Genomic DNA, 19,566 nt, shown 5'->3' with positions numbered 1-19,566 from the left:
GGAAAGAAAATCAAGTCTAGGTGAGGAAAGCAGGAAGAGCAGAGCAGGAAGAGCTGGCACGCAGCTGAAAGTCTTCCCTCCCCAGAGCCGAACGAGTCCTTCCTTCCTCGCCCCCGGCGGCCGCCACCCCGGCCACGTTGCCCGCCCCGGCCCAGGCACACCTGCCAGAGCCGGGCAGCGACCCCCGCCCGGCGCCACGACCGCCGCCTCCCCACAGCCCTCAGCCCAGGTCGGCCGCGCGGGAGGCGAAAGAAAGGTGGGCTCACCAGGTCCCTCCGGGCTGGACGGCGCCGGGGGCCGGTGGGGCGGGGACCCGCACCCGAGGTCCCCCTGGGCTGGCTCCCTCAGGTAATCTTCGAAGCGCACCTGCCGGGCTTCGCCGCCGCCCCCGAACCCCAACAGGCGGTTGGCCGTGCCCCGCAGAAGGCGCCCACTCTTCTCGGTGAACGTCGTCAGGTAGTCCATGCTGCCGCGGGGCTGGACGCGGAACTGGGGCCCAGGAGGTCGACGGTTTCGGCGGTGGCGGCCACCACTAGCGCGCCCACCGGCCCATCAGACCTGACCCAGGGGAGGCGGCTCCGCGCGCCTCACAAGAGGCGGGGAGGAGGAGGGGGCGTCCCTCTCTCTGCCCGGGGACGGACCATCAGGAAACCACGCGTCGGGGGAGCAAAAGACGGACAAAAGTTTTCGAAAAGTTTTTCTTGTGGCTTCTAAATGCAAAATGAGGCAGAACTTAGCTTGTCACATAGGTGTATTCTTCCTGGAACCGATGCGGGGTCAGAAAACTGATGGCTTTTAAGCAAGCTGGACGGGTCCTCTCAGCGCATTCCCCCACCCGCCTGGCGCCAATGGAGCTGGCCTGGCCCGCCCAGCCCCTCCCCGCCCCGTCCGCGCTCGGACCGGACTTTCAGGACTGCAGGGGAAAGGGTGGACACCCAGCCTCCCGCCAGGTCAGAGCAGAGGCTAAAAATGGCCCAGGGGAGACTGCTGGAGTTGCATGGAGTTCGGGAGCCTAGGAGGGGTCTGAAAATAACTGTCAAAAAGTTTGAAGGGTGTGTGTTGGCTTGGGGAAAAAAGAGGGTGGAGTGCATTACATAAAACTTTTGCAGCTTGTATTTCCTTTTTTTTTTTTTATGTTTAAGGACGGCGGAGATACCTTCAACGTAAGACTGCAATCATAATTAAAACATGAATAGTAACATTTTAAGTTCGTTGTGCCATTATGAACTCATGTTAGTGTTGGACATTCTATGATCCCAGTCCTGTTTAGGCAACGTTATTGAGGGATTTAGTTTGCGGATCTACCTTTCAGGGACAAAGAACCTAGACAGGGAAAGAACAGTAACTTTTGACAGAAATTTTGCTTCCTGTGAGATGTGGTTATTCTCTTCCTTTCACATCTGTTTGTAGTTCTTTTAGTTTTCCCAGGCATTAAATAAATTAAACCCTCTTTCTTGGAATCACCAATATATTAATATATTGGGGGGAAAAAGATTTGAATTACTTAGGAAGTTGATGAACTACCCACTCCAACAATAGAGCCCTGAAAATCAGGCTTAAGCTTTTGGCCATACTACTAAAGACTATCCCTCCTGACAAACACACACCCTCTTTTTTTTTTTTTTTTTTTAACTGGTTGACAGATCTTTTTTGCATCATCACCATTTTCAGTTTAGATTCTTACTAGGTGGGATAAATTTCACCATTCTAATATCAGCCATCACCATTATGCCTGGTGAAAAATACAGAATGTCTGGGCTGCATCCTCAGAGTGTCTAATTCGGTGTTTATGGGAAAGGGACCCAGGAGAATCTGCATACCCAGCAATCCATGTTTTCAGGGTTGTGGCTTGGGAAAGAACTGTTCCAGACTTCTGCACTTCCTAAGGACCTATTTTGTAGATGTTGCAGTGGACGGAATGTTTGTGCTTTCCCTTAAATTCATTTGTTAAAATCCTAACCCCAATGTGATGGTATTAGGAGATGGGGCCTTTGGGAGGTAATTCATAGCATAGAGGCCGCATGAATGCGATTAGTGCCCTTATAAAAAAGGGACCCAGAGAGCTGTCTCCATCTTTCTGCCACAGGAGGATACAAAAATACATCAGTTTGCAAACCAGAAGAAGGTCCTCACCAGAAACCAACTATGCTGGCACCCTGATCTTGGACTTCTAGCCTCCAGAACTGTGAGAAATAAATGTGTGTTTATAAACCAGTCAGTCAGTCTATGGTGCTTTATTATAGCATCTGGAACGAGCTAAGACAGCTGCTAAGTAGCATTCCATTTGACAAGGAAGACTTACCATTCACACTACTTCTGAGTTCAATGAAAGAGAGGCTCGGTAAGTTTTAAAAATCAAATTTCAATGACTTAGTCTAATTCTCATTAATAATTTAAATTATTTTTCTAAGATATGTTTTACATCTTCTAAAAATTTACCGGTTTGTTATAAGCATATCCAATTAATGCTTGAGATTTTACCTGATTAGATCTGCACTTTTACATCCAACATTTGCAGGAAGCTTCATTCTACCAGTTCAAATCCAGATTTACAGGTAGTTAACCCATCTGTTTTGGGTTTTTTTTCTGCTTCTATTTCATAGAAGGCTAGAGCTGCTGGAGAAAAATGTATAACCTTGATGACTGAATGCCTTACAATCTTTGATTTAAACTCGGCTGAGTCGTAATGTCTCTAAAATCCTTCTATTCATATAGTCAGTGTTCTCTTTTATTCTCTGTATTTGTTGTCTGAACTGTCATCATTATCCTAAAGTTACCAAATTCATCACTTGAACATGTTACTTTGCCTTCTACATGACCCAGAAAATCATAGGCCATCAAATATGAACATTCATTTTTCTTTCCTTTTTCTCTTCAATCTACATCAAGTTGCTCTCCCTACCTTGCTTTAGAAGGAGGTCTTTATTCCTGTCCATGCCTTTCTTCCAGATTTTCTTTTGATAGTCTAATTATGTTGTCTGTGACTTGCCAGCTTTATTATTCCTCTCTGTTCCTTTTCACTATATTTCCTTTCCTCTTATCCTTCCTCTATCAGCCACATAAGTCACTCAGCCTTAAAAAAAGCTTGCTTATATGCCATGCCTGCTTTTTCACGCTACCTTTTGCCTCATTAAAAAAAAAAAACTTTATTCATATGTAATTTAAGTACTGTAAAATTCACGTGTTAAAATTATATAGTTCACCTGATAACAATTCAGGGTTATAAAGCCATCATCAAAATGTAATCTTTGAACCTGAGCATTTCCATCACCACAAAAAGAAACTTTTTACCATCTGTAGTCACTCCCCAGTCACACTTGCAGCCCTAGGCAACCACTAGTCTATTTCTGCCTCGGTGGATTTGCCTTTTATAGACATTTCATATAATGCTTGGTCTTTGGGGTCTGGCTTCTTTCACTTAATGTTTCTGAGGCTTCTTCATGTTGTAACATGTATTGGTACTTCATTCCTTCTTACCACCAAATAACATTACTTTGTATAAGATATACCACATTTTATTGATCCGTTCATCCATTGATGGATATTTGGATTGTTCATACCTTGCAGCTATTGTGAATAATGTAGGAACATCTAGGTAATTAAGTTTTTTTGTTGACCTGTTTTCATTTCACATATATACATAGAAGTGAAACTGCTGGGTCAAAATGGTGGCTTTCAATGTACAAAAAGGTTTAATTTTGATGAAGTCCAAATTTATCAATATTTTTATCACATCCGTGCTTTGCATTGTATCTAAGAAATCACTGACTAATCCAAAGTTCGAAGATTAACTATTATGTTTTTTCTATGAGTTTTATTTTATTTAGCTCTTATATTAGGTCTTTGATCTAACATAGGACTTTGATCTAATATAGGTCTAATATAGATCTTTGATCTTATATAGGTCTTTGATCTATGTTGGGTTAATTTTCAGGTTTGATGTGAGGAAGTGGTCCAAATTCATTCTTTTATGTGTGGCTATCCAGTTGTTCCAGCACCATTTATTGAAAAGATGATTTTTCCCCCATTGTCTTTGCATCTTTATCAAAAATTAATTGACCTTAAATACAAGGTTTTATTTCTGGACTCTCAATTCTATTCCTAAACCCATGCCAATACCATGCTATCTCGATTACTGTAGCTTTGTAGTAAGTTTTGAAATTGGAAAGTGTGAGTCTTCCCATTTTGTTCTTCATTTTGAAGATTGTTTTGGCTATTTTGAATCCTTTTCATTCCATATGAATTTTAGGATTACCTTGTCAATTTCTTCAAAGAAAAAAGTCAGTTGTAATTTTGATAGGGATTGCATTAAATCAGTAGATCAATATGGGAAGTATTGCTATATCTTCTATAAACAAAAGGATGTCTTTCCATTTAGGTAGATCTTCAGTTGCTTTCAGCAATGTTTTGTGCTTTTCATTGTATAAATCTTGTACTTTTTTGTGACATACATTAATAAGTGTTTTATTTTTTGTTGATATTGTGAATAGATTTTTTTTAGATTGCCATTGCTAGTATACAGAAATAAAATTGATTTTTGAATACTGTTCTTGTATCTTACAACCTTGCTGGACTCATTAATAAATTCTATTCATTGTTAAATGGATTTCTTAACATTTTCTCTATATAAGTACATGTTTTCTGTAAATAAAGGTGGTTTTGTTTTTTCCCTTCCAATTCAGGTGCCTTTTTTTCTTGCCTAATTGCCCTGGTTAGAACTTTCAGTACAATATTAAATAGAAGTTGTGAGAGCAGATATCGTTTTATTCCTGAATTTGGAGAAAATGCATTGAGTCTTTCACAATTAAATATGATATTATACATCGTTTTTTTGTAGATGCCCTTACTCTAGTTTAGGAAGCACCATTCTATTCCTAATTTCTAATTTTTTTGTCATAAATGACGTTAGATTTTGTCAAATGCTTTTTCTGCTTCTGTTGATATAATATTGTGCTTTTTGTCCTTTATCCTGTTAATATAGTGTTTGCATTAATTAATATTTGTATATTAAATGAACCTTGCCTTCCTTAGATAACCTTCAGAATGTATAATATGATGCTTGATTTGGTTTGTTGGTATTCTGTTGATTATTTTTTGTCTATATTCATAATAGATATTACATTGGTTTATACTTTTCTTCCCTTGTGATATCCTCGTCTGGCTTTGGTATTTGGGTAATACTGGCCTTTGACAATGAATTGAGAAGTATGCCATCCTTTTCACTTTTTTGGAAGAGTTTCTGAAGGATTGTTACTAATCATTCTTTAAATGTTTGGTAGAATTCACCATTGAAGCCATCTGGCTCTAGGCTTTTCTTTCTGGTAATATTTTAAATTACTATAATCATTTACCATATATATATATATATTTTTTTTTTTTTCTATTTCTCCTTGTGTCAGTCAGTTTTGGTAGTTTTGTCTTTCTAGGAATTTGTTCATTTAATGTAAGTCATCTAATTTGTTGTTCATAGTATTCCTTTATAATCCTGTTCATTTCTCTGATTTATATTAATATCAGCTCTTTTACTCCTAATTTTAGTAATTTGAGTCATCTCTGTTTTTTTCTTGCTCGATCTAAATCTTTGTCAATTTTGTTGCTCCTTGCAGAGAGCCAACTTGAGGTTTCATTAATGAGGTTTCTCTAATGTTTTTCTATTTCCTATTCCATTAATATCCATGCTAATCTTTATAATTTCCTTCTATTTGTTTTGTGTTTAGTATCTTCTATTTCCCCCCGCCGCCCCCCAACCTCCCTAGTTTCATAAGGCAGAAGGTTAGGCTATTGATTTGAAATCTTCTTTTTTTTTAATAATATAGGTTTTTACAGCTACATACCTCATTAGTTCTGTCCCACAAATTTTGGTATATTGTACTTTAGTTTTTATTTATCTCAAAGTAATTTTCCTTATGACTTATTATTTGACTCATTGGCTATTTAGGAGTATGTTGTTTAATTTCCACATGTTTGTGAATTTCCCAAATTTCTTTGTGTTTTTGACTTCTAACTTAATTTTACTGTAGTTAGAGAACATACTTGGTACAATTCCCCCATCCTTTCAAAATCATTGAGTTTTTTTATGGCCTAGTTTATAGTCTATCCTGGATAATATTCCATTTCCTTCATTTTTAAGGCCTTCCATTCATCACTGAATTTCTTGAAAATCCATATTTGCTGCCTCTCTTAAGCTCCTACCCAAGCTCACTCTCAGCAAATTGTCATCCATTCATTCAGCTTTAGTAAATGCCTACTCAGCACTAAGATAGAGAGTCCCTATTTCTATGGCACTTTCAAGCTGATGTTACACTCCCAAAGATCACCAGTGCCAGCACAAGATGTTTTTGTGCGATTAGAAAGAGATACCCCTGCAAATAGACACATTACAAAAAGGCATCTCTAATCCAAAAATGAAATTAAGAAAATAATTCCATTTATAGTAGCATCAAAAAGACAAAAATACTTAGAAATAAATCTATCCAAGGAGGAGCAAGACATTTACTGAAAAATACAAAACATAATTGAAAGAAGTTAAAGAAAATCTAAATAAATGGAAAGACATCCCATATACATGGACTAGAAAACTTAATATTGTTAAAATGGCAATTCAGAAATCAATATACAGATGCAATACACTCCCTATCAAAATTCCCCTGTTTTATTTACAGATATGGAAAATCCCATCCTCAAATTCATATAGAATTGCAAGGAACCCCAAAGAACCAACACAATATTTAAAAAGAAAAACAGAGTTGGGGGACTCATACTTCCCAATTTCAAAACTTTCTTCAAAGCTACAGTAATCAAAAACCGTAGTACTGGCGTAAGAATAGATGTACAGATTGATGAAATATAATTCAGGGTTCAGAAGTAAACACATACATTTAGGGAAAACAGACTGATTTTCAACAATGATGCCCAGGCCATTTAATGGGGAAAAATAGTGGCTTCAATAAATGGTGCAGTAACAACTCCATATTCACATACAAAAGAATGAGATTAAACCCTTACCTCACACCGTGGACAGAAATGAACTCAGAATAGATTAAAGACATAAGTGTATGACTTAAAACTATTAAATTCCTAGAAGAAAACATAAGGTGAATCTTCATGATCTTGGAATTGGCAGTGGACTCAGAGATTACACCAAAGGCATAAACAACAAATTTGCTTCATTACTAATAAGAGGAATGCAAATATCTGCCAATAAATACCATTTTCTTCTATCAGGATGGTGAAGATCAAAAAGTTTCAAGCCATTTTGCTAACAGTGGGTGGAAACTACCACTTTCATATATTACTAGTAGGGGAGCGAATAATGGTACTACCGTTTTGCAGGATCATCAAAGAGGGTCATTTTGCAGGATCTATCAACATTTTTAAAGCACACTCCTTTTGACTCAGTGTCCTCACTTCTTGATATTTATCCTACTGATGTATGAAATGATGCAATTTTCTATTTGCAATAGCAAAATGTTGAAAATAACCTAAGTGGTGACTAATAAGGAAATGATTAAATACAATATGACATGTCTATATAATGGAATATTATTCAGCCATTAAAAATAACTACACAGTTCCTGGTATAACTGATTATGAAAGAATCTTGAGAAAAGTATTTTTAAGGGGGAAAGGAAGATATAGAACACCACATGTCGTATGCTTCAATTTTTGAAAACAATGTGAAGTATGTGTAGTTATCCACATACAAATAAAACATTTCTGTTAGTATATATAAGAACCTAGTAATGGTGGTTGCTTTCTGAGAAAAGAAGTGGGTGGCTTAGGGTGTGATGAGAGAGAGCCTTAATTTTCACTGTGTGTATAATATGCATGTATCACCTATTCGAAAATGATTTTTTAAGTTAAAAAGGACCTGTTTCCCATAAGCCCATTCTATCTTGTAGGAGCTTGCTAGACTGTCCACTGCCAATCTGACTGTCATTCAGCTCCTATGAAAGGCATTTGAGATAGACTGCATTTCTCAATCATCAGTAAGAAAAATGTGATCTTTCTTAAGTTGTCTAAGAGTTACAGGCATATCAAGTTAGGTCATCTGCAGTCAGTATACCTAAGGCATGTCTCATCATTGAGAACATGGGCCCTTAGTCTAACTTCAGATCCTGGCTTTGCCACTTACTAGCAGCGTAATGGGAAAGTAACTGACTTAGCCTCTCTCTCCCTCAGGTTCCTTACCTGTAAAATAGAGATCATATAGAGATGTCGGGAAGATTTAATAACATCATGCAAGCAATATGCCTACAAGAGTGCCTGTAAAACATTAAGCCTTGGTAAATGTGAGCTATAATGCTTCCTATAAAATACCTTATCAAGTTATACCATTAGTGTTATATTCTGAATTTTATTGAAGTTCAACGCAAGAAATAATTGTGTGAGGAACTGATATTGAAGACATTATTCATTATGTTGTTATTTAGTGTATATAATTAAAAAATATTTTTGGCCAGGTGCGGTGACTCACACCTGTAATCCCAGCACTTTGGGAGGCCAAGGTGGGCGGATCATGAAGTCAGGAGGTCGAGACCATTCTGGCTAACACAGTGAAACCCTGTCTCTACTAAAAATACAAAAAATTAGCTGGGCGTGGCGGTGGGTGCCTGTAGTCCCAGCTATTTGGGAGGCTGAGGCAGGAGAATGGCGTGAACCTGGGAGGCAGAGGTTGCAGTGAGCCGAGACCGCGCCACTGCACTCCAGCCTGGGCGACAGAGCGAGACTCCATCTCAAGTATATATATATATATATTTTTGACAGATATTTAGAATTTTATGTCAGGAAAAATCCTTGTGAAGACAGGACAGGCATTCATTAACCAGATAATACGTGTTATTATCTTGTCTTAAGTTTCAAATACAATGACCATCTTTTCTTTTTTTTTTTTTTCCAAAAAAGTAGAACTACCTTGCCATTTCCTTTGCTTAGTAATTTCTGGTCTCATTGAAATTATTATTTTTTACTAGATGTTTAAATTAAAAGGACAATATATAACTGGGTACATGCATATGGGAAAACAAAACTATAGTACAGAAGGCTATATAATAGTAAATTTGTTACATCCTTCCTGAATCAACCTCCACAGCTTTGTGTATATCCTTCTGTAAATTTTGTATGCATATATTTACATAGGGATTAGTATGTGTATATATGCATGTGTGTTTCTTTAAAAAAAAAACCCACACAAATGGGAACATATTGTGTCCACAATTTTGTTGTTGTTGTTGTTGTTTTCTTGTTTGAGATAGGGTCTTACTCTGTTGTCCAGGCTGGCATGCAGTGGTGTGATCAGGGCTCACTGCATCCTCGACCTCCTGGGATCAATCCATCCTCCTGCCTCAGCCTCCTAAGTAGCTGGGACCATAGGCACATGCTATCACACCCAACTAATTATTGTAGTTTTTGTAGAGACAGGGTTTTGCCATGTTGCCCAGCCTGTTCTTCAACTCCTGGGCTCAAACGATCTGCATGCCTCTGCTTCCCAAAATGCTGTGATTACAGGCATGAGCCAAGATGCCTGGCCAATGTCCATAGTTTTATACAAATATTTTTACTTCACTTTGTCTTAGACACCTTTCCATATCAATTTCTATTAGTTCTCCTTCATTCTTTTTACAGTTTCCGAGTTCAATTTATTATTATCTGTTGAAAAAGCCTTTTGTTGTTAGTTGCTAGAATATTTAATTTAATTACATCACATTTACTTCCAAAAAAAATGTAGGAGCTAAAAACTCACTGGAAAGCAACTATTAATAAGTTGGAAACTTGTGCACTACTATATGTAGGTTATTTAGTTAAACCACTCCCCAAAATGCTTTAAGAAATTCTGCCCCTGCCCCCGCAGCACTATTCCTTAAAGGAAACATTGTTCTTTTAATTGTGGAATCTTAAGTAGAAAACTTTCAAGTAAGACAATGATTTCTGAAAATATGAAGAAAAATGACATGAAAACTAGGCAAATGGCTCTGATTTTATATTTTTATACTAAAAGAATATCATCAGTAACCTAAAAATAATTAGAACCAGATTAACAAAAACATTGGTTTGTAATGTTTATATTTTCTTAATTGTTAGATGAATTAAATGATTCCTATTTTAAGGGGACTATTCTTTGATTGCTTGTTTACATTGGCTAATGACTGAAGTTCTGTTTAATGTTCAATCTTCTCAATCTTTTTATTCCTGCCCCAGCTCCTATCTCTGTCAGTCATCCTATATACCAAGCTCTCTGAATTCAAGCTCACTTCTTTATCTTTTACTGAAGATGACATGAAATGGTTTTTCTACTAACAACCATCCCCTGGCATACTTCCTGATTCACTAAAACTATTATGAGTAGCCACAACATTGTGTTCATTACATTTTAAAATACTTTTTAACACAGATAAAATTATTGAATTTTAGGAAATAAAAGAAGCAGAACTGTAACATCCTGAGAAAACACAGAGACATTGAAGTATATGAGCACGACACATCTGCAAATCTTTAAGCAAAATGGTAAAAGTGAGAGCTGTGTTCTCATTATAAGGCTAGCTATGTTAATAAACTCAGAAAATAACAATTGGATCTTAAAAGAACAAAATGAAAAAATAATCTTCTCCAGTAACAAATTATATCTACCTGTCAACTATTTCATAAGATAGAAATGTTAGGGTTGGGCATCATAGCCCACACCCGTAATCTAAGCACGTTGGGAGGCTGAGGCCAGAGGATCGCTTGAGGCCAGAAGTCAGCACTCAAATTTCTGATATGATAAGCCAAACCACTGATGGAATCAATAAAGCAGACTGACAATCTGACACTAAACTAAGCAAACAGATTTTGTAAGTTTAGAAACTAAGGCATGAATCTATTATACAGTCACTACATCTGCATCTGCCAGTAAACCTAAAGCTTAACTTCATAGACAAATTTGATACCCTTAAAATTGACTCTTTTTTTATATAAAGCATTTGTGTGTTTTTTGCCACTAAAATGGTTTATGCTAACATTCAAATTCCTTATCATATGTGAGACTGCCACCTGTGTCCCAAATGACCACAAAGAGGAAGAATGTGGGTTATCGTTTGAATATAATCATGATCACAGCATTGAAGAGTATATGATAGAGATTTAATACGGCCTTTCAATAGACTGGGAGAGAGTCTAATATTAATTTTCTAAAAAGTTCCCCTCTAGAAGATACCAACCTTGGATATAATAATTACAAACCCTACTAAAAACCAAGTAATTTTCTTTCAATTCTGAAAATTGTCCAAAAGGTGTTAACTCCTTCACTCATCAGAAAAACACTGCATGGCAGTCAAGCCAAACAAGGACTCAGCAATAGCATCGTTAACAATTATAATTGAAACTTGGGTCACAATAAGTGACATCAACTTACCATAGAATTATTCCAGTTCTATTTTTAATCCTATTAAAGACAGTAATTACAATGGTATAATTACAGCCCCCAAATACTCCATACCTGGAATGTGGCAGCTTCTGGAGCTTTTGGATCAGTTTCACTCAGCTCATTGGACAAGTGCCAATTGGTATTACCAATGGTGCTTAAAGTTCTGAAAACTCAATAAAGCTTTAAAAACCTTGAGGAACAATAGCTCATCAGGACACCCAAAGAATAATGTTACATCATGAAGACAAACATTCTCATTTTCTTTCTTCTGCAGATTTCTTTTCCTGCCTGCACTTTCTTTGAGGTTGCAGTAGAGAGTGTGTGTCTACAGAAGGTACTGTATGCATAGCTATAAGGAGGTCTTACCCTCTGTCTTTTTATCTTTCTGGGCCCTTCTTTACCCTTGTTCTTCCTCTTCTCCTCTCTTAATTCTATAATGGGTCTTCACATATTGCTGTACCTTCTCATGTTACTTGAATAGAATTTTGATACTTAATCTGAAAAGCTGATAAGTGAAAACATTTGTTTTGTGGTATATTAAGTACTTTATTGAAATTATTAATTTCACATATTTTAAAGTTATATAGCTTTTAGCTAATTTTTTGGATAATTTCCCTATCTTTGTTTTTATTAAAGATAATAGGGCCAAGCGCGGTGGCTCATGCCTGTAATTCCAGCACTTTGGGAATCTGAGGTGAGCAGATCACCCTGAGGTCAGGAGTTTGAGACCAGCCTGGCCAACATAGCGAAAACCAATCTCTACTAAAAATTACAAAAATTAGTCAGGCTTGGTGGTGTGCACCTGTAATCCCAGCTACTTGGGAAACTGAGGCAGGAGAATCGTTTGAACTTGGGGGGCGGAGGTTGCAGTGAGCCGAGATCACGCCACTGCACTCTAGCCTGGGCAACAGAGTGAGACTCTGTCTCAAAAAAAGAAAAAAAAAAGATAATAGAGAAAAAAGAAGATGAACAGGCAAAATAATATTGGAAAAACCTAAATCTGTTGCCAGCACATTTCCAGCTTTAACCTGTAACCAGTAGTTAGGTAGTTTTTTGTTGTTGTTGTTCCTTCTGTTGGGGGAAAGTCTATAACTGGGGCTGTGTCAATACAAGATGAAATGAAGTACAATAAAAAGAGAGCCTACCTATAAGTTCATCCATCTCAGAGAAAGTGCTGGGCAGCAATGACAAATTTTTATCAATTGTCCAAATGTTTCAGCCATGATGCATGAACAGCAAACTCCTAAGTGCTGTACATAATGTTTGAAAGGAATAGAACTTATTCCTCTTCCCAAAGTAGATGGGAGTTCCCTAACTCCCCACCTCCCCATACCAAACACAATCTGGGAAAGATGCTAATATCCCCAGGTGAATCAGCCCAAAGGCAGTCAGCATATAGGAAGAGAAATTCAAACCTAGATGGTCAATCTTTAAATGATCCAGCACTGACTAGACAGGTTTAGTTTTCAAGCAGAATCATGCACTGGTCATTTTCTTCTGTTGCAGATCTACTCTAAATTCTCAAGTCTTCCTAGAGAACAGTAGACACAGCAATATAACCAGATTCAAAACTCAAATCTATGCTGCCCTAACAGGCTTGAAGGAAAGTTGGATCATTTCTAATTGCCTCTCAAGAGAGAAGCAGGGCATGCCTAGGCACCTCAGCCCCACCTACTATCCACAGACTCATATGGGTGCCAAGCTGGCTATACAGCCACCACCACCAGTAGAATTTATCAAATGCATTGAACAAGGACTGGTTGGCAGCCAATTTGTACCTACCCTACTGGTTTTCTAGGAGTCCGGAAGGAAGGGTTGGGGATAAGATTCTTAAATATACAGAGACATCAACAACATTGTTAGGCCCTCAGATTGAGCTAGTTCTGCTAACACACTGCATGATATGTAAGCACATGCATTTGTGTTTGCTCATTAGAGCCTATACATTATGTAGTAAAATGAAATCTCCCAGCTTCTACTTTACCCCCTCTTTAATCGATCTCCAACACTGCAGCCAGGGTAATCTTAAATCCGCCAATCTAAGTATTGCCTTTTCTCCGCTTTAAAAACACTCCTTGTTCACAGCAGCAGCTGCCTGTTGATAATGAGAATCAGCTGTGGAACTTTTTAAAAAATTAAAATTCTCCAACTATACGCAGAGATTCTGGTTCCATGGCTGTAGGGTGGGGAACTCAGGAACCTCAATTTTTAAATTATAAGCCACGTTTGCGGCCTGCTACTTTAGTTCTTCCAAATGGTTTTTGCATATTTAGTTCATATGAGTCACACAATGACTTCCGAAAAAGGTCCATGAGACTAGATCTGGCAACCACCGAGCAGTGATGTATGTGTTTCACATACGTGTGCAAAGAACAGGCGCTGTTTAAAACTGCCAGTGTTTTACGCTCCAGGTGCCTCAGCCCCTGCCTCAGCAGCTAAGGATATGATGTGCACAGGACGGTACAGCTACAAGATGGTGGAGCCTCCATCAGTCTGGATCCCTATGTAACTATATGGATCAGAGCCCCTGCTCCCAATACAACCCAAAATTGGATATGTAAGAGGAACAAGAAATACATCAAGAAATATACACCTATTTCAGCAAGTCACTTAGGTTTAGGGGTTCATTTGGCATCACAGAATAAGCTTAGCTTATTTTGACTGATAGATTTTGCAAATGATTAAGTTACATTTTTAATGATATATTAATATGCTAAAGATCACCTGATTTGTTAATGATTTTGCTTTTCAATTGTCTCTTGCCATGTCTATATTCTGAAAAGTATTCTGAGATTGCGAAACTATTCATTTACCTTTTGTGTATGTGAATAAGTATTTTCTTAATACAACCAGAGGAAAACCAACAAACAACAAAAGCAAAATGGGGAGAATGCGGAGTTGCTGAAGCTAAAAAGAATCTGTCGATCATTTATCCTCCCAGTTTAAAAATTTGGTTTCCTATCAGCCTTATTCTCTCAATAAATATCTTTATAATCAAAATGTAAATTTGAACTTGTAAAACACATGTAGGCTCATAAAATGCCATTTTTATGTTTTACATACTGTTCTCCCATAAAAGTACACTAGAAAATGGTTGAAAATAATTACTTTAAGAGCTACAAAGAATACATCTCAATTGTCTTTCACACAATGCCCTTAACATACTAATCGCAACCTTAACCATAAGACATGAGCGGGGCCTTGGTGTTTATCTAGTCAAGCCTTTCATTTTTATGGATTGGGTCATCAAGGCCGAGAGAGGTCAAGTGTACCTCTCAAGGTCACACACTTGGAAAAGAACAGAGCCAGAACGCAGGGTTTGCCCATGGGAAATGCTGCCACATGACATTTCCCTCCATCTTTTACTCAAGCAATTAACTGTTACTCTCTCAGTTCACCCAAACATTTGGTTAAAGTGGCATGATGTCCCACAGCGGGTTTTCTGGCTGTGAAAGCTAGGTCAAACTATTGACTTATTTATGTATTGAGATGTAGCTTTCTGATCTGTAAAATAAGAGCAAATAGTGCCTAACTTGGAGCTCTTCTATTATTAGAAAGGACATGATGTATGTATTAGGCCCATTGTTCTTTGGCTGTAAATTAAAAAAAAAAAAAATTCTATTGATTCCCTTCAGAATTTCAGCCTATTCTTCTAGACCAGGGAACAGCAAACTATGGCCCATGAACCAAATCTGGCCGGCCATCTGTTTTTATAAATTTGGTTTCCTTTGAACACAGCCATGCCCATTCATTTATGTATTGTCTGCGGCTGCTTTGGGACTATATCAGCAGAGCTGACTAGTGTGACAGAGACTTTATGGCCCAAAAAGCCTAAAATATTTGCTCCCTGGCCCTTTTCAGAAAAATTCTGTTGGACTGTATTCTAAACTGTTGGGATCATTTTGATTCTTTCACCCACAGTGACATTCGGTATCCCTAATTACTGAGTCAACCATAAATTTGCCTCTGTTAAGGTTGTTCATAAAAATATTTAATGAGACATGAGAAAGGAAAGTCACAAGACACAGGTCAACTGACACCTTCAAGGATGACAATGACTACCACTCATTGAACACATTAATCTAAAGAAGTATGAATCCACTAAATGCTACCATCACCCAGAACTCATTTATCAACAATGCCACATATTAGTTAAACATCTTTCTAATACGCAGAAGATAAGGTACAGACTCCAAGTGATCACTGCTTTCCCCTCTGAAATGGTTTCAAGTCTATGATGTTTCTATACCCTTCAACTCCATTTCAATAGCATTTTAAAAATTCGGGCTATTCGCCTAACTACAGTTTTCTGGCAGATGTCTCATTATCCAGCTACAGAATGGCTAGCTGTAACCAAACCTGATTCTTCTTTTTTCTGGGCACATAGTGAGCCTACATTTCCCAGATTCCTTTTTGGGCAGCAGTGCTCAAGTGATTATTTTTTAGCCAATGGAAGGACTGCAAAAATGGTGTGTGCTACTTCCAGGCCTGGCCAGAGAGTCCCTATTGGTGATCTCCATGCTCTTTTCTTTTCACATACTTGTAGCAGATGAACATGGTGACTTGAGAAGCCATTTATTAAATATGACAGAGCCTTGAGATAGAAGGTACCTAGGTCCTTGAACCCACCCTTAGTGGAGAGCCACCACCACCCAGGAACTCCAAATGTAGACTCAAACAAGAATAAACTTCTCTTGTATTTAAGCCATTTTATATATTTTGAAGTTTGTTACAGGAGGGAGTATAACTGTCAAAAATACACTATGATTCCTGTAAGGTTACTACCAAAGGTTTTGTGACCACATAGGAAAATATTCTGGTTTTCTGGACCAAGAGGTTTCAATTCATGTAAAGTAGATGTAGGTGTTCTTTCACTGTATCCCTGTGTGCCTTAGCCTAAAAATTTCAATTTTACAGTATTTGTTTTGTACTTCCTTGTAGCTCATTCTTCTTAATTGAGAAAAATAAAGCAAAACTGTGGCCAAGTGTGGTTGTGCACACCTGTAGTCACAGCAACTTGGGACACTGAGCTGGGAGGATCTCTTGAGCCCAGGAGTTCAAGCCTAGCCAGGGCAATATGGCAAGACCCCATCTCTTAAAAAAAAAATTAAATAGGCATTAAACTTACTCTTTCTTTTAATAAATTGTTAAACAACACAAGCCTCACCCATCCATCTTGTTCTCCTTTATTGTAGGACTTTCCTTTTCACTAGTTTTTTTGGTGCTTATATAACCTCACTCTATGTTTTGGCCTGATACTCTTTCACAGTTTTATGCCAGTCTTTTTTGTTTGTTTTTTGTCCCTGGTAATATGTTCCTCTTTTGTTTCTTCTAAGAACTAAGCTCAGAAAACAGCTTGCCAAATCACACTGGTATCGCCCCATTTTGCTTTCTTATTAAGATTACTCATGACTTTGTTTGCCAGAGTTTGATTTTTTGGGTATGCTACTAATACTCAATTAAGAAACCCTATTCTACTGGATGTTGAGAAAGATTCAGCGCTCCCATAACCACCTTACACCTCTGGCAACTTTTATAGTCTGTTTGTAAAAAGCCTTATTTCATCCTGTATCTAGACACAATATTCAATATTCTTTAACACTCGTACTTTAGTATGCTGTGCGTGGAGATAACATGCTTCTATTGATCCTGATGCTTCTCCATCTCATTTACAGAGAAGATGCAGGGCAGGCTGTTGCCACTTCCTGACATATCTTTCTGGGCTTGCTCTTTCAGCCCCACGTTTTCACTCACTAGCTTCAAAAGCTATGAGGTCCCATTCAAGACATCCTACTCTCTAAAGCCTTCTTTATACCAGTTTGACTTAGCTTCAATTGGCACAGAAAAATCTGGGAATGAAAGATGTGATTGTAAGCTCATATGGCAAAAAGAAGAAGACAGCTGTGTGCAAAAAAGTTTATGGCTAACAGAATGATGTTTCTTTAGCTAGCAAATTTATATGTTGTAAATGTCATTAGCATGATTGGATGTATTTGATAACTTGTAGAGTTATACTACTGTCTATGTAGATGCTTTCTTAAAATTTTAGTTAAAAAGTATAGAAGTGAGTTTTACCTCAGTGAATTTCTGCAACATGCATATAAGCTTGTCATAAATAAATGAAGTAAATTTACTTTATAGTATGCATATGTTCTAGTTTGATTTTGGAACTAGTAAAAAGCATGCTATGTATTCTTTCAAGTATTGTGAACAAACATAGGGTGTATTTGTTAAAAACAAAGTTGTAACTATTATTGCAAGAATTTGAACATTGAATCACTGGCAAAATTTGAATTTCAAAATTTTAAATTTGTCTTTCTCAGATGTAATTTAAATATAATCAGTTTAGGGTATTTCTAAAAATTGATTTGCAAAGAAATAAATGTTATTTTTATGCTATCGAAGTTACTTCCCAAAGTAAAGATTACATGTTATTCACACTTTAAATATACATGTACTTATTCTATTATTATTAAAGAGAGGATTCCTCTGCCATTCTCACTACTTTCTCCTCAAAAGAAGAGACCATATGTCTTAGATAAAATAAAAAGAGCGCCATACAGATGCCTGCTTATCCTTAAGGTCTCAATGATGATTATCTGCATTATAAGGGGAAAATCATAATTAACATGAAAATATAAAATATAGTTCATTAATATATATGTATATATACATATGCATATATTTGTGTATATATACATCTATATACAAATATGCAAATATATGTATTAGTATATATACACAAATACGTATATACAAATGTATATATTTGTATATATGCAAACATATATATATATTTGCATTGGTTGTATGATATAGTAGGTCTTTAATAAATATGAACTATTTTCATTCCCCACAAATTTGATATTGTTTGTAAGATAAAATATGTGAAAGTATACACATCAGTTCTGAGGCTGTTAACAGTATAAACAAAGAAAGAGAAAGAAACAAGGACAAACTTTGCCTTGCTAAAAATCAGTGCCTTTTCCTTGATATACCAGAGATAAACCAAAGTAAGACATTCACCATCTTGGAATTCCTGGCAGTGGCAGATGGCAGGGAGGTTACAAGATTTGATATACTTGCTCACAAAGGGCACTGTGACTACCTTGATTATACTTACCTTACCATACTAATTTTTTGTTTATGTGTCTGTCTCTGAGAATGGAAACCATTAATATACTTGTCTACATTAACATGACCTTACACTCACTCTACTGTCTCCTAGTTTATTCTAGGAGCATCTGGAATGATACATCAATTCTTCAATAGAAAGCATTAATCAATAGTTTATACACTAGGACTCTTTGAATCCCTTGCCACATCTTATTTTATCAATCCTAAACTATCATATCATGATCCTTACCCAATCTTAGCCAAGTTGCCCTATTGAGAGATCTGCCTTAAATTAGACTTGAAAATCTCAAATATTCCAACTATGTCCCACCCTTTTCCTTCTTTTTAGGCACTACAAAGGCTCTGTTGAAGTGGTATTCTCCATACCTCAATGAACTTGTTTTGTCTTACCAAAAAGGTAATATCAGTGATATTTTGGGGAGCCAGCTTTCAACACTCCCGTTAGATTGTGAACTCATGAAGAGCTGGGTATATGTCTCATTCATCTTCTTGTCTGCAGTTTTTTACATGGTTTCTCTGTATAAAATAAAATTTACAGAAGGCCATTGTTTTATGGAAGGTTGGCCATTGTTTAATGGCAATTGTTTAAGGCCATTTATGGAAGCACCTGCAGTAGGCCCCATAAGACCAGAACAAATCAGAATAGAGTGACATGTGCTAGGTGCCGCACAATCAGACTGAAATTTAAAATGAACCAGTTTAAAAGCAAAAACAAAAAAAAGGAAGATTCATAGCAACCAGTCAGAAGGGGTCCAGTCAACCTGAAGTGGTATGATAGGAAAGTCCCCTCTGGTTTAACTCTATAAGGAAAGTAACTTCAAAATGACCACTCTACTTTTTGTTTCCACTTCTTTAGCCCTTTTCTTCCTATAAAGCCAACTCATTCAAGCACCTTTCTATTTCATAGATGGGATGCTGTCCCATTCATGAGCTGCTGAAAGAAAAAAGCCAATTAGATTTTTAAACTGAATTTTTTTTTGATTTTTGTTGTGTTGTTTTATAGGTTTTTTTTTTTTTTTTGAAATGGA

General features: G+C 37.2%; 1 protein-coding gene and 1 long non-coding RNA gene across 24 annotated transcripts in view, besides 3 other annotated features; one reads left to right on the top strand and one right to left on the bottom strand.

Annotated features, from left to right (window-relative positions):
• The window catches only part of OXR1 (oxidation resistance 1), a 482,517-nt gene that overhangs the window by 94,243 nt on the left and 368,708 nt on the right, over positions 1-19,566 (bottom strand). For 3 of the 13 annotated variants that reach the window (XR_007060735.1, XM_017013589.3, NM_181354.4), the window contains exon 1: positions 267-644. The exons of 9 other annotated variants lie outside the window; for them this stretch is intronic. Coding sequence is in view for 2 of the 4 variants with exons in the window: in XM_017013589.3 (XP_016869078.1) it covers positions 267-465 (199 nt within the window). In the remaining 2 variants the exon portion in view is untranslated. Of the gene's footprint in view, positions 1-266; positions 645-19,566 lie in introns of those variants that run through there. One more of the 13 variants, XM_017013593.3, reaches the window with a different exon arrangement.
• Positions 122-271: a silencer, noted in NCBI's record as "silent region_19466". NCBI's record gives its function as "represses an Ori minimal core promoter by ATAC-STARR-seq in GM12878 lymphoblastoid cells {active_cell/tissue: GM12878}" and the evidence as "EXISTENCE:reporter gene assay evidence [ECO:0000049][PMID:35858748]".
• Positions 312-561: a silencer, noted in NCBI's record as "silent region_19465". NCBI's record gives its function as "represses an Ori minimal core promoter by ATAC-STARR-seq in GM12878 lymphoblastoid cells {active_cell/tissue: GM12878}" and the evidence as "EXISTENCE:reporter gene assay evidence [ECO:0000049][PMID:35858748]".
• Positions 632-841: an enhancer, noted in NCBI's record as "active region_27801". NCBI's record gives its function as "activates an Ori minimal core promoter by ATAC-STARR-seq in GM12878 lymphoblastoid cells {active_cell/tissue: GM12878}" and the evidence as "EXISTENCE:reporter gene assay evidence [ECO:0000049][PMID:35858748]".
• Positions 732-19,566, top strand: part of OXR1-AS1 (OXR1 antisense RNA 1) — a 140,687-nt gene continuing 121,852 nt past the window's right edge. The window contains exons 1-3 of one of the 11 annotated variants that reach the window (XR_007061061.1): positions 732-2,341; positions 11,676-11,735; positions 17,077-17,805. This is a non-coding gene — a long non-coding RNA (OXR1 antisense RNA 1). Of the gene's footprint in view, positions 17,806-19,566 lie in introns of those variants that run through there. The other 10 variants (XR_007061060.1, XR_007061053.1, XR_007061057.1 and 7 more) reach the window with 10 other exon arrangements.

Source organism: Homo sapiens, chromosome 8 (genome assembly GCF_000001405.40).
Source record: "Homo sapiens chromosome 8, GRCh38.p14 Primary Assembly".
In the NCBI taxonomy this organism is placed as follows: Eukaryota; Metazoa; Chordata; class Mammalia; order Primates; family Hominidae; genus Homo; species Homo sapiens.
The sequence above is the reverse complement of the archived record's forward strand: the minus strand, read 5'-3'. Positions and strand labels throughout refer to the sequence as shown.